General features: G+C 43.6%; 1 protein-coding gene across 7 annotated transcripts in view, besides 2 other annotated features; it reads right to left on the bottom strand.

Annotated features, from left to right (window-relative positions):
• RUVBL1 (RuvB like AAA ATPase 1) overlaps window positions 1-14469 on the bottom strand; it is an 89130-nt gene that overhangs the window by 46473 nt on the left and 28188 nt on the right. For 5 of the 7 annotated variants that reach the window (XM_011513249.4, XM_017007356.3, XM_011513248.3 and 2 more), the window contains exons 1-3: window positions 12327-12555; window positions 8071-8157; window positions 1631-1763 (exon numbers count right to left, since the gene is read on the bottom strand). In XM_011513249.4, the coding sequence (XP_011511551.1) occupies window positions 1631-1763; window positions 8071-8157; window positions 12327-12467 (361 nt within the window). In that variant the 5' untranslated portion in view covers window positions 12468-12555. Of the gene's footprint in view, window positions 1-1630; window positions 1764-8070; window positions 8158-12326; window positions 12556-14469 lie in introns of those variants that run through there. The other 2 variants (NM_001319086.1, XM_017007357.3) reach the window with 1 other exon arrangement.
• Window positions 12307-12356: an enhancer, noted in NCBI's record as "active region_20476". NCBI's record gives its function as "activates an Ori minimal core promoter by ATAC-STARR-seq in GM12878 lymphoblastoid cells {active_cell/tissue: GM12878}" and the evidence as "EXISTENCE:reporter gene assay evidence [ECO:0000049][PMID:35858748]".
• Window positions 12547-12606: a silencer, noted in NCBI's record as "silent region_14702". NCBI's record gives its function as "represses an Ori minimal core promoter by ATAC-STARR-seq in GM12878 lymphoblastoid cells {active_cell/tissue: GM12878}" and the evidence as "EXISTENCE:reporter gene assay evidence [ECO:0000049][PMID:35858748]".

Raw genomic sequence — 14469 nt, forward strand, 5'->3', positions numbered from 1 at the left:
TCAAAGTCTACCCACTTCTCTCACTCACTCAGAAGAACTTTCCTGAGCACCCACTATGTGCCAGGAACTGTGTCTACAAAGATAAGCACTGACCACTGTATCCCCAGGAGACGCTGAGTAAACACCCAACCTGCTCCCTCCCATTCTTCCCCATCTCCAAAAATGGCCAAACCTGGGAATTTTCCTCGACTCCTCTCTTTCTTTCAGCCCCACATCTAACCCTTTAGGAAATCCTGTCAGCGCTACCATGCAAACACACCCAGAATCCAACCACTTTGCACTTCCACTGCCACCACCCTGGTCCAAGCCACTATTTTGTCCTGCTCAGACTCCTCTCTGCCCTCACCCTCCTTACTATCCACTCCCAACCCAGCCGGAGGGGTCTGGTAAAAGCAAAACCAGAGCCCAGGGATACCAGCACTTTCTAACTGCTTCTCCTTTTGTTCAATGTAAAATCAAAAGCTTTAACCATGGCCCTACCTGATCTTACTCCGAAACTGAACTTTTTCATCAGTCTTTTAAGTTTCATCATTTCCTTGAAGTTTTCTGGTAAATTTCCTTCTTAAGAATACTTACTTTGGTTTGACAATGAAAGAGCCTGGAAACTGGTACAGGCACTCTGACTAGTGTTCATAACCCACGACTCAGCAGGCAAATCCTAGAAACATACTCGCACATGTGCACAAAGACACATAAAAGGATATTCCTAGTAGCCTTGTTTTTAAGAGTAAAAGCTGAGAATAAATCTAAATGTTCAAAAAACAGAAATGGCTTAATAACTGGACTTTTATGTAACAGTTAAAAGAAATAAGCTATTTCTATAAGCAGATCTGAGGGAAACTAGGACTTGCCCAGTGCTGTGCCAGCAGAAATGGGGCCAAAAAACTGCCCCAGAAGTCCTAGCTAGCAAAAAGCAAAAATTCGAAAGAGAAGCCATTTTCTTCTCACAGCCAATCTTCACAGCAACGGCTCTAGAAATGAGAAAGATGTCGGATCAAACTACTTCTGCCACTTACTAACTGGGTCCCTAGCAAGTTATTTAACCTTCTGAGACTGCTTCTTCAAATGCGAAATGTAGATTGATAATCTCCCCTCAGAGGAGGGAAGGCCTGGCTCATCACAGGCACTCACTATGATAGCCTGAGGCCCTAAGGGTTAGGCGCCATAAGCCTCTAAGCTCTGCCAGTCCCCACTCCTCAGTCTCCTCACTCTATGACAGGCCACAACTCTTCTGGCTCGCCATCCAGGACCAGGGGCATTCTGGCCACATGGCACACAAAGATTCTGGCTTGAGTCCAAAACCTTTTCAGTGGATAGTCATCTCTAATGGCAAAATAAGACTTCCAGGAAAATATGACTCATTAAAAAAACACTTTTAGACACATCTATTTATTGCATGAAGAAGCGCAGGCTCACAGCTAGGGTCCATAGTTGCTCCAATTGCTAACGCACTTCAATGAGAAAAACTGGGGTTTTGTTTTATTTGAAAAATAATGCACTACTAAGTGCCAAAAGAAAAACAGCAGTGCCACGAATACCAGTCATAAAGGCATCTTCACCACAAAGAGGCTTCGGTGCACAGGCTTCAGGAAGTGAGACCAACTCCTCCCACAAATGTGACACTACTTACCAATGGCCCTGCGGAAGTTCTCCATCAGCACCTCTGTCTTCTTGATCTCAGTTGAGTAAACTTCACTCCCCACCATTGGGCAGAAGGGGACCTTACTACCCAGCTCCTGAGCAATAGCCAGAGCCAGAGCTGTCTACAAAAGAAAGCAACGGAAACACAGTTCACAGTCCTGAAAACATGACAGTTCAGAAACACATGCTACAGAACCACCAGGAACTAGGAACAGCTGAACATCTAGTCCTACCATTTAGCATGTTTCACACAATAAATGTTTGATGACTTTTGTGGACAGTCAATTTAAATCATAAATGGCATCTCTTATCTTCCCTATAATTACAAGTTATCATTCACTCAGACTTACCCAGTGCAGGCCCAACTCCAAATGCCTCACATGATCCTCACAACCAGCCTATGAAATAGACACTAGTATTCTCCCCATTTTACACATGAGAAACTGAGAGACATTAAGTAATGCAACGTAAGTACCATAATCTAGAAAATGGCAGCGCAGATTTAATCTCTGGCAGCAGGACTCCAAAGATCATGTTATCATAATTAGAAGAGTCTACTCTTCAGTATCCACAGGGATACCAAAATCCATGGATGTTCAAGTCCTGGTATAAAATGGCAGGGTATTTGCATATAACCTATGCACATCCTCCTGTTACTTTAAATCATCTCTAGATTACATACAATACCTAATATAAATGCTATGTAAATAGTTATTATATTGTATTTTTAAGTATGTATTATTTTTGTTATTGTATTTTTATTTTTTATTGTTTTTTTCCTGAGTATTTTTGATTTGTGGTTGGCAGAATCCACATACGTGGAACCCACAGATAGGAAGGGCCAACTTTACAGTCATCCAAAATTGTTCTCTCAATATCAATATATGGCTCTGACCTAATTGCTCCGAATACACCACTGGATCTTTGAGATACCTGCTTTCTCTTTTTACAAATACAGGAAAACACCAATCTACAACCCATCAGAAATAATGAAGGAATGAATGAATGGATTGTTCATTTTATGTTATGTAGCCCACAAAGAGTGAAGAAGGATACCTCAAGTAGGATTTTGAAGCTATGAGTTGGTCTTAACAAGTTACACTTAAACACGCCCTGTGGTAAACTACAAATTGATTTTTGACAAGATAATTACAGCTGGCAAATGCTAAACAGAACCAGACTTCACAGGTGTACGGTCAAATGTCAAGTATGGCAAGCAAATGCTTTAAAGTTGGTACAGAACTGGGCAATGCCATGGCCTCTAAATGCCATTTTCATCTTTCCTCAACTCTGAAACAGGAGCACGAGTAAGGCCAGCTCCCCAGGTATATGGGCTAAGACTGAAAACAAGCTTGTTACTGAAGAACAAAGTGAAACTGAGACGGTGTCTTAAAATTAACAGTCAAGGTTCCTCTCAGATTTTCTTTTCTATGCCCTTTTGGTGATAGTTTTGAGGTAGTAAAATCTGGTAGAGAATCAGTGTATAGCACAGTATAAAATGCACTAGCCAGGAACAGAAAGATTAGTGCTGGTTCTGCCACTAATTTTCAGTGTGACCTTGGGCACTCAGCAAATCTCAGGTGCCCGATTTCCTCATCTGTCAAATGAAAGTACTAAAGTGCCATGCTAGATCACAAGTGGCAAACTCGTTGCTCACAGCCTGGTTCTGTTTGGCCTGCAGTCTCATGGTGACCTTCAGCAAGGCCGAGCACCTGGGGCTCAAGGCAGACACGCCACAGTGCACCCAGCCACTTCCCTCATCCCCGTTGCCTGCCTCATTAGGCATCTGCACTTGTGAGCTCAAGGCTGACACCTTGAAAACTGGTATTCTTCTAAGAGCAAAGGAAAAAAATCTCTGGAACATGAAAGGGCACAATGAGAGGAGCAGCACTCTAACAGCAGACTCCCCGTGGGGCCACAGGCTGGACAGGACCACCCCTTCCCAGTTACTCCTTTCTCTTCCTTGTATCTCTGCCAGCCCCAATTCCCTACCCTCAGTTTTGAACTTCAAAGACAGTGACCACATCCAATTCAATGGCACTCTCCCTCCCTTTAACTAATACAGAAGAGATGAACATACTTCCATTAAAATATGATAAATACTTGGTTAAAAAAAAAAAGCTTCATGTGTGTCTCGTTTCCTCCATTTAAAGACTTCCAGAGGGAAAGTATATGATATGGCTACTATTCCTACACCTACTACAGAGTGCTGCATAGACCTCATCGAATCTCCCCAACTAGCCTATGACCTTGATCATCTAGTTTGTATTTTATAGATTAAGAAACAAACTCAAAAGTTACCAACACACCCAAGGTAAAACCGCAAGCAGCAGCACCAGGATGCAAACCCCAATCTCCAAAGCCATTTTTTTTTGTACTCACCCCATGTGAGTGACAAGTGGCACAAAAAAGAGGTTGTTGCCAAAAGAAGGTTGAAGAAATCTCTATTTTTCAATCTCATCTGAATATCTCCTTCTTCTAAAACCCAAACCCATTATTAACAGTGTGAGGTCCTCAAGAGTGGAAATGCATATGAACCATGCATTTGCATCTCTAAAATAAGCAGTATTTCTGCCTGTCACCCAGGTAAGTTGCCTAAACTTTGGGACCCTGCAGCAAACCATTAAGCAGAAGTCACCAAATTCCTTCATACACATTGGAAGGGAGTGGACAAACTTATAAGGTAATACCACAGTGCTGAGCACTTCTCATATTTCCTGGGAGGAAAGCAATACAATATCACCAAAAAAAATGAAAGACATATGCTTCTAGCAATATGGCACACTGGGTCCACTGAAAACCTCTCCTCTTACAAAACACCTAGAATTGAATAAATAATAACATTCAGAGCAGTAAACTATTTGCCTTGAAAGTTCAGAGACTGTAGATACAGGAAAGCTCAGCAAGGTATAGCACTTAAGATAGAAACCCCTGAATAAAACCGGGACTGGGCACGGTGGCTCAAGCCTGCAATCCCAGCACTTTGGGAGGCCGAGGCAGGTGGATTGCTTGAGCCCAGGAGTTCAAGACCAGCCTGGGCAAAATGGCGATACCCCATCTCTACGAAAACTACAAAAATTAGCCAAAGCGTGGTGGTGTGCACCTGTAGTCCCAGCTACTCAGGAGGCTGAGGTGGGAGGACCACCTGAACCCAAGAGGTAGAGACTGCAGTGAGCCGAGATCACTGCACTCCAGCCTGGGTAACAGACCACTGCACTCCAGCCTGGGCGACAGACTGAAACTGTCTCAAAAAACAAACAAACAAACAAAAACATTACAATTAAAAAAAAAACATAAAAGAGGACTCTTGAAGGGCCACACATGAGTAAAAAAGGTGGGCCATAACAAAATACATCTGGGGGCCAGGCACAGTGGCTCACGCCTGTAATCCCAGCACTTTGGGAAGCCAAGGCAGGTGGATCACCTAAAGTCAGGAGTTCGAGACCAGCCTGACCAACATGATGAAACCCCATCTCCACTAAAAATACAAAAATTAGCCAGGCACCTGTAATCCCAGCTACCCAGGAGGCTGAGGCAGGAGAATCGTTTGAACCTGGGAGGCAGAGATTGCAGTGAGCCAAGATCACGCCACTGTACTCCACCCTGGGCAAGAGAGCGAGACTTCATCTCAAAAAAAAAAAAAAAAGACATTATAACTTGTAACAATTTATGCAGTGTGTAATCTTTGATTGCATTTTGATATTCTGGTGTTTTTTAAAAAGCCAAAAACTGAAACAACTTGGAAAGATGTTTTCTGATTTCTATCACCTATATTTTCTTTTCATTAAAACAATTTAACTTCGTTGTCTTTGAAAGCACATTTGTTAACTGCTCATGGAATCATATGATGAGCTGCCAGGCTCCCTCATCTTTGTGATTTCTCTACCACAGTGGATATGGTTACCTACTCCTTTCTTTAAAGGTTCTCCTTTCTTGGTTCCTGAGACACCATTCTCTCCCTGGCTCTGCTGCTCATTTTTTAAAAATTAATTAATTTAATTTTTAATTGACAAAAATTGGGGGAATATAATAGCATTAGCAAGGTGGGTCTGATGATGGCACCGTGGTCATGTAGGAAGACATCCTTACAACTTACTGTCAAGTGGTTCAGAAATAAACTAGAGAAAAAGCAAATGTCACAAAATATTTATAACTGGCTATCTAGGTATAGGGTATAGAGGGGCTCATCACACTATTCTTTCAAGTTTTTTGTAGGTTCCAAACTTTTCAAAATGAAAAGGAAAAAAATATTCAATAGATTGGATTAATCAGTCACTTAATCATAGCTTAAGAGACAATTAGACTGGAACAAAGATCTAAAAGAAATTACCCATAATTTAGCAGAGTCAAAAAGATAACAAATATGAGAGGCTAAAAGACAAAGAGGACAAAACGAGAAGCTCTAGCCCAGGGTTTCTCAGCTTGACTCCATGACGTTTGTGGCCAGATAATTCCTTATTATGGAAACTGCTCTGTGCACTACAGGATGTTTAGTAGCATCCCTGGCCTCCACCCACTAGATGCCAGTAGCACCCCCAACCAAGTCGTGAGAACCAAAAATGTCTCCAGACGTTGTCAAAGTCCCCTGCAAGGGCAAAACTGCCCCAGGTTGAAAACCACTGCAATCTTAACCTCATCTCAGTGGAGTTCCAGAAGGAAAGAACAAAGAGAATGGGGAAAGGCAATAGCTGAAGAGATTAACGCTGACAGTTTTTTTGTTTTTTTTTTTTTTGAGACGTAGTCTTGCTCTGTCACCCAGGCTAGAGTGCAATGGCATGATCTTGGCTCACTGATACCTCTGCCTCCCAGGTTCAAGCGATTCTCCTAAGGCTGACAATTTTCCAGAATTGAGCAGAGACATAATACTCAGATTCAAGAAGCACAATTAGCATTAAGCATGATAAACAAAAATTAATCCACTCTGACATATAATAGTGAAACACCAAACCCAAAAATATCTCAAAAACATGCAGAAAGAAGACTCAAAACCCTCAAAATTAGACTTCTCAAAAACAACAGAAGCCAAAGGAGCAAATAACATTGAGAGAGAAGTACTGTGAAACAGTACTGAAGAAAATATCTGTCAACTGAATTATATAGCCAACATAGCTCTTTTTCAAAACAAGGGCAACATAATGAATGCAAACGTGAGAGACTTTCCCACCAACAAACTTCTAGAAGAAATTTCTAAATTATTTACTTTAGGAAGAAGAAAAATGGAGGGAAAGAGAAGGTCTAAGATATAAGGAATAGCAAGCAAATAAATGGTAAATGCACTGGACAAGCTAATGTTGCCTGGAGAGAGGTAACTGAAGCTCACATCTGTATGGCACTTTACAGTTTAAAAAACTGTTCACAATTTGCTTTTATATAGGAAGAGAAAAAACTGTTCACAAATATAGCACTTCTTCCTCTTGTAAGATACCAATATAAGATACACAATCAGTAATCATTTCAAAATTATAATGCAAGTCATTATCTTACAATCGATCAGTTTAATAATTGCTTGAAATAGGTAGAGTATGCTTTTGCTTAGAAAAGTTAAGGGACCTGCCTCAGGTCTCATAGCAAGTCAATACTAGAGCTGGAATTTAAAGCCCATTTCTTTTCACACACAACCCCAAGCTCCTACTTGCCCACATCAAGCGGCCCTTTTGAAGAATAAGCAAGCTCAAATTGGGAACTCTGGTGAGTTTCAAGTATCTGGCCAGTCCCCTCACGAATCCCAAGAAGCCACACGGTGTCCTCTGCCTGAAAGGCCCTTATCTTCCCTGCAAAGCCAAATCCTCTCCCAGCTCTGAAGGGAAAATGTCAAGTCTCAACCCTTCCAGCTGTACCAGCCCACAGTGCTGCCTCCTTAAATTCCAGCTGCATTTAATATTAGTCAATACCTCAAAGCTGAGCACTCATACTGAGTCCTCCTGTGCTGTCATGATTTCCTTTCTTTCTGCCCTGGAGAGACTGTAAGCCCCTTGAAGATAAAAATCATGTCTCTAATTCTTGTTTTCCTTTTTTTCATCTCCCACACAGCCACAATAGCGATGCGTAAAGCTAGCATTTGGAAGAATGCTTGACTCATTTTTTTGTCCCCTCAAGTAAGATGTCACTCAGAAGATCTTTATGAAGCCCTAGGCCAACAGAAATGTATTTCCACAGCAAAGGAGACTTGAAAGAGAAAAAGGACAAATTCTAGAGACAATGAGACCCCTTCAAGGACTTCATTCTTTCTTCTCTGGAGGTAGGCCAGGATAATTTGAATTTTAGAAGCAGGGATTTTAGATACCCAATTGTATTATTGCATATTAATTTTAAAAACATACATATAACCCATTTAGCTAAACAAAGACTAGTTAAGACATGAATTCAATTTGGCTTAGACACTAGGATCATTCTCCTGGGTAGATTTAAAAAATGAGAGAAAATGAGTACCTTGCCAGTTCCAGGAGGTCCTGCCAACAAGACAGCTCTTCCAGCCATTTTCTTGCTTTTGATTAATTCTACTATGACGCCACATGCCTACACACCACAATGGAAAGAAATAATAAATCAATATTAAAATGTTTCACAAGGGGAAAAATCTCAGTCCCTGGCCTACACAAGTCACACACTCATCCAACTAACACTGAGTGCCAGTGCACTGCAGTCACTGTTCTAGGTGCCGAGGGTAACGAAGGCAAGGCAGAAAAGCCTTGTACTTGTGGAGCTCATGTTTTAGGGAGGGATACAAACATACAAACATTGCACACATAATCTTCATCACTACTATGAAGAAAAAGGGATGATGAGAGAGAACGAGTGGCTAGAAAGTGATCCTGGAGTGTCTTTCTGATGACATTTAATTTGATATGTGAACCTCTGGGAGGAGCAGGAGTCAGCGTTCCAGGCAAAGAAAACAGCGAATTCAGAAAATCCAAAGCAGAAACAAGCTTGGCATATCCAAGGGACAGAAAGGTTGCAGTGACCAAAGTATAGCGAAAAAGACCAGGAAGATGAGGTTGAAGAGGTAGACAGCGGCCAGAACGCAGAACAGGAACTTACAGTGTGTGGTAAAGTTTGGATTTTATTCTACATAAATAATACAAAGCCACTGAAAAGGTCTTGAAGACTATGTGTCATGCTATGATTTGTTTTTAAAAGATGGTGCTAGCTACTACTGTGTGAAGAATGCACAGTATGAGTACAAGTGGGAACACTGATTTTTGGCCCAGGGTACAGGGATAGACGCCAGGGGCCCAAATACCTCTTGAAGTTGGGAACGAAACTGTGTTTATGTTCATATATACATTTTTTCCAGAGAAAGGATCCATAGCTTTCATCAAATTCCCAGAGTAACCTATTAAGGGGTAAGAATCAATGACATAGAGTACTAGCTGGCCATCAGTGAACACTGTAAATACTGAATGTGAAGTTAAACCTATGGCACTATTAGATCCATTGAATATGTTTTGAATCCTCAAGGTTAAATTACTTTATCATCTGTTAGTATATTTTAAATACATTATAAATCTCTGAATTTTATTAACCATTTGCAGTACACATGTGTGTATATATACACACACATATTCCATAAATGGGCTATGGAACTTCATATATTTTAGAATATTTGACTATAAGGGGGGAACACTGAGAAAGTTACACTAGCTGAGCATCTATATCTCAGGATTACATAATATAAGGTTTGCTACACTGATTTAATAACTGAATACGTGACTATCTAAAAGGTGCTCTTCTCTCTGGGCAGTGACCACACTGTGCCAGAGTCTTGTGAATACATCTTATCTCTTCTACCTCTATTCCTCATGGACTGTGAAGTACCTTGGTCCCACACTTATGGCAGCCCCTCAAAAAATATGTAAGGACTACAGGCGCCTGCCACCATGCCTAGCTAATTTCTTGTATTTTTAGTAGAGAAGGGGTTTCACCATGTTAGCCGGGATGGTCTCAATCTCCCGACCATGTAATCCACCTGCTACTCGGGAGGCTGAGGCAGAAGAATGGCGTGAACCCAGGAGGCGGAGCTTGCAGTGAACCGAGATGGCGCCACTGCACTCCAGCCTGGGCGACAGAGCGAGACTCCCTCTCAAAAAAAAAAAAAATGATGTAAGCAATGTGTGTGGGTATGCTATATCCATCCCATTTCCACTTCAGTTACCAAAGCACACTGCCCTTAATAGAACCTAGAAGATATTCTTCAGATGCTACTTTTCTTTTCTCTTTCAGATGGAGTCTCGCTGTCACCCGGGCTGGAGCGCAATGGCGCGATCTCAGCTCACTGCAACCTCCACCTCCCAGGTTCAAGTGATTCTCCTGCCTCAGCCTCACGAATAACTGAGACTACAGGCGCATACCACCACACCCGGCTAATTTTTGTATTTTTAGTAGAGACAGGGTTTCGTCATGTTGGCCAGGCTGGTCTCAAACTCCTGACCTCAGGTGATCCACTTGCCTTGGCCTCCCAAAGTGCTGGGATTACAGGTGTGAGCCACTACGCCCGGCCCAGATGCTATATTTCTAAATAGATAAAAAACCTAGCCAGGCGCGTTGGCTCATGCCTGTAATCCCAGCACTTCGGGAGGCCGAGGCAGGTGATCACCTGAGGTCAGGAGTTCAAGACCAGCCTGGTCAACATGGTGAAACCCTGTCTCTACTAAATATACAAAAATTAGCCGAGCGTGGTGGTAGGCGCCTGTAATCCCAGCTACTCACGAGGCTGAGGCAGGAGAATCGCTTGAACCCAGGAGGCAGAGGTTGCAGTGAGCCGAGATCGCGCCATTGCACTCCAGCCTGGGCAACAAGAGCAAAACTTCGTCTCAAAAAAAAAAAAAAAAAAAAAAAACTACTATGGTCTTTCCACACAACCCTGTCATATCATAATCCCCAGCACTGAAGCTCTTTGGGAAACCCAAGGTAGAAGAGACTTTACAAACCTTGGAGATGTGCGTTTATTTACAGACCAGGACCTCTTCCATCCATTCTCCCTCAATTTCCACTCCAACTACTCTCAGGTGAGATAAGCTTGAATTCTAACATTTAAAAAGAATTGGAAGGGTCTTTAAAAGATCACCTAGTCTAACTCTCATTTTTCAGGGAGGTTACTGATGTGACCAGAGTCACACAAGAACCTGGTAGCTGAGGTGGGTCTTAGGCATACAGCATCACTCTTAGGCATAGAGCATGCACTTAGGCATAGAGCATGCACTCTGGGTTTAAATACATAGACTTGAGTTAAAATACTGGCTCTCGCACTTACCAGATGAGTAACCTTGGACCTACTTATTTGACCTCTATGAACCAGAATTTCCTCACTTGAACAGAGTTCATACTAGTCAATGGCACACAGGTTAAAGGGTGTAGGGGTAAAGTGTAGTGATGCCTGCAATTCACCTTGAAATGTAAAAGTGGATTGGGAGAGGGACAGATGAAAAGATATATGATAAAGCAGCACAGTAAAATGTTAATTATAGAATTTAGGCACACAAGTATTTACAAGTCTTTCAACTTTTTTTGTGTCTGAAAACTGTCATACTAAAGCGGGGAAGGGACAACTAATACGTTGGATATGACAAGGCAGTGGACATATAGCTACTTAGCACAGTGCTTGGCACATGGAAAGCACTCAACCAATGTTAGCTACTTGCAGTACTAGCTGCTTAGTAAGCCAGGGTCAAACACTTCCTTTTTGGAAAGATGATGCTCAAAATGGAAACCTGAGGCTTTTCTTTGAGGCCTTTCCATTTAGAAAAATCAGGCTAAGAGGCAGTAGCTTAACTTTATATTAAGTGAAGATTTTTGTAGAAGCTAAGGCTCTCCAAAGGCCAAGGGGCATGGCTGTGACCTTAGAGAACAGCAGGCAGAGAGGGTGGCTGTATCATCATAGAGCACTGATTTGGGAGTCAGAAATACACGTGGGTGCAAACCCCAGGTTTACCGTTACTAAAACGAGTGTCAAGCATATACGTGAAGTGCCCTCTCCCCAACTCAATATTTTCACCTGCCAAAAAATAATATGTATGTGAAAGTACTTGGCATCACCAGCACTTAGAAAAAGGAGATTTAATTGGAATGGTCAAAAAGGATGCTTGGAGGGGTGGATAAACCAGATTGCTCTTCTCCATAATTCCCACTTCTCTCCCTCAGTTCCCGGATCCTGGGAACCAAAATGAGCTTTTAAAGTTTAGTCAATTCCCTACTTTAAACCGTCCCATAGCCTGCCACTGCATTCACAATAAAATCCAATTTCCTGACCGTGGCCGACAAAGCCCTGCAGTAACTAACCCCACCAAGATAAGATAATTATTTTTATTTATTGGTGTACACGTTTATCGTCTCTCACTACACTAAAATGTAAGCTCCTATCTTAATTCCCGCTGTATCCCAGTGTCGCGAATAGAGCCTGGTACGAATTAAGGGGACGGGGTTGTGTGGGTTTATATCAGCACTTGTCCATGAGTTGGCAAACCGTCAACTGCCCCCAGTGGATCGTCACTAGGTATCCTGGGGCGGCCCCTCACCCAGCTCCAGGGCGGCGCCCCTCCCCGAGCCCCTGGCCCATTTTCACTTCCCTGAGGAAATAATGGCGGGAGACCCCTGGCGCGCGCATCCCGCCCCGAGCCACCGACTTCAGCAGCTCTCTCGCCGCAGCAGCCCTGCTTGCAGCCCCCAACTCCCTGGTCCACTGGCCACACCTCTCGCGCGTTCTCCTGGCCCACAAGCCCTGAGGCCGCCTGCTTGGCCAAGCCGCTCTCGTCCAGCCCCAGCCCTTTCACGTGGCTGTGGGAGGCGATGCGCTGCGTCTTCGTAGTGCTCTTCACCTCCTCAATCTTCATTTTGCAGACGCCGGGAGCTAAAACCAGCGTGGAAAACCAGCAGCTAGGACAGTGCGCCCGGCGCCTGAGTTACCATGCGGCCGTTACTAGGGCAATTTGCAAAGGCCCGCCTAGACCGGCTTTCCATTGGTGGAAGCGGGAACACCTCCGCTCTCCATAGGCTCACGGCTGCGCCCATCGCGGCTGCTGCTAGAGCTCCGGTCACCCACTTCCGTCTGTGTCTCCGGGTTGGCTTCCCCCGTAGCCGGCGCTTCCTGCCGAGGCTGGGGTCGGGAGCACAGTGGGACCACGCCCCGGATTTGATCTAGGGCTGGGGCGTTGCACGAGGCAGTGGCCCCCGGGTACCACTCCTAATCCTTCCGTCCTATCCATTAGCACATTTGAACGTCATACTCTTACGCAAATCTCAAGTTATTATTTCCGTTTTGGAAACAGAAGAACTGAGGTTCAGAGCTTAAACTGGGATTGGTTACTAACCAATGTTTTCTGACTCCCATACCTTTGCATCTCCCTGGAAAGGCCCAGCTCAACCCACCACCGTTTCCGTGGAATTGTCTTCCCCTGCTTCTATCCTCCATCCTCCACCGAGAGATAAGGTTCCTGCTGAGTTCAGTTGACTGTAAATAACATTTTGCAGTTTTCAAAATTCCACAGCCCTGTAAGGTAGTGTAATTACGCATGCAGCTACAAACAAGCGGAAAGAGGCCCATCCGCCCAAGAAAGCATCACAAATAATCAGAACTAGAAATCTTCAGGCTTCAAAACCTATATAATAATGCTCATCACGTCCCATGACTCCAGCTGAGACAATCAGCCAGCAAATTGTCCCTTCAGGTTTCATAATGATATTAGCACAACCTGCACCACAATTGTACTTGCCATCCATCCATCCATCCGTTCAACAAACACGAGCCAGACACCACAATGCACTGGGGATACAGGGATAAAAGTCTTGATGCGTTTACTTCTTGCTTAGAAAACTTGCAACGTGAGATGTGCTGAGACAGGTACACCCAGGTGGCGAGAAGACCAGAGCAGAAGCCCCCGGAACAGCCTGGAGAGCCAGGGAAGGCATCATGAAGGTGATGTTGCCTTGGCTGAATTCCAACAAATAGGAGAGATTTCCTCAGAAGCAAATGGTATGACACCATTTTTACAGAAGAGGATACTAACATCCAGAGGAAGGGAAGGACTTGCCCAGAGTGCAGGAGAGTTTATGTTAGAATTGAGACAGACCTGAAATCAAATCCAATTACAGTAGTTCCACAGTCTCACACCGCCTTTTTTTTTTTTTTTTTTTTTTTTTTTGAGACGGAGTCTTGCTTTGTGGCCCAGGCGGGAGTGCAGTGGCGCAATCTCGGCTCACTGCAAGCTCCGCCTCCCGGGTTCACGCCATTCTCCTGCCTCAGCCTCCCGAGTAGCTGGGACTACAGGCGCCCACCATCACGCCCGGCTAATTTTTTTGTATTTTTAGTAGAGACGGGGTTTCACCGTGTTAGCCAGAATGGTCTCAATCTCCTGACCTCGTGATCCGCCCGCCTCGGCCTCCCAAAGTGCTGGGATTACAAGCGTGAGCCACCGCGCCCGGCCTCTCACACCTCCTTGTACATCTTGATTCTAACATTTGAATCTAGGTTTCTATATACTTTTTTCTTTTCTTTTGAATCTAGGTTTCTAATGATTTGCATAATTACTGGGTCAATGTTTTTCTCTCCCAGTAAACTGCAGGCCTTTTGAGGGTGTAGACCACATTTGATTGTTTACCATTTTAACCTAAGTGCCTGGCACACAGCCTACAACACAGCTCACAATTAAGGCTTCTCATGAATTCAATTAAGGTTCTAGACCACACACAAACACATACACTTGAATTCATCAGTTTTGCTGCATGTATTTTACACGTTGGCTTTTATAGGACTTGGTAATGATTTCCATCAGTGAATGGAATCTTTTGGCATTTTCAGGGCCTAAAAGAACAGAGGCCAGGCCTTGGAAGGCTGAG

Source organism: Homo sapiens, chromosome 3 (genome assembly GCF_000001405.40).
Source record: "Homo sapiens chromosome 3, GRCh38.p14 Primary Assembly".
Classification (NCBI taxonomy): domain Eukaryota; kingdom Metazoa; phylum Chordata; class Mammalia; order Primates; family Hominidae; genus Homo; species Homo sapiens.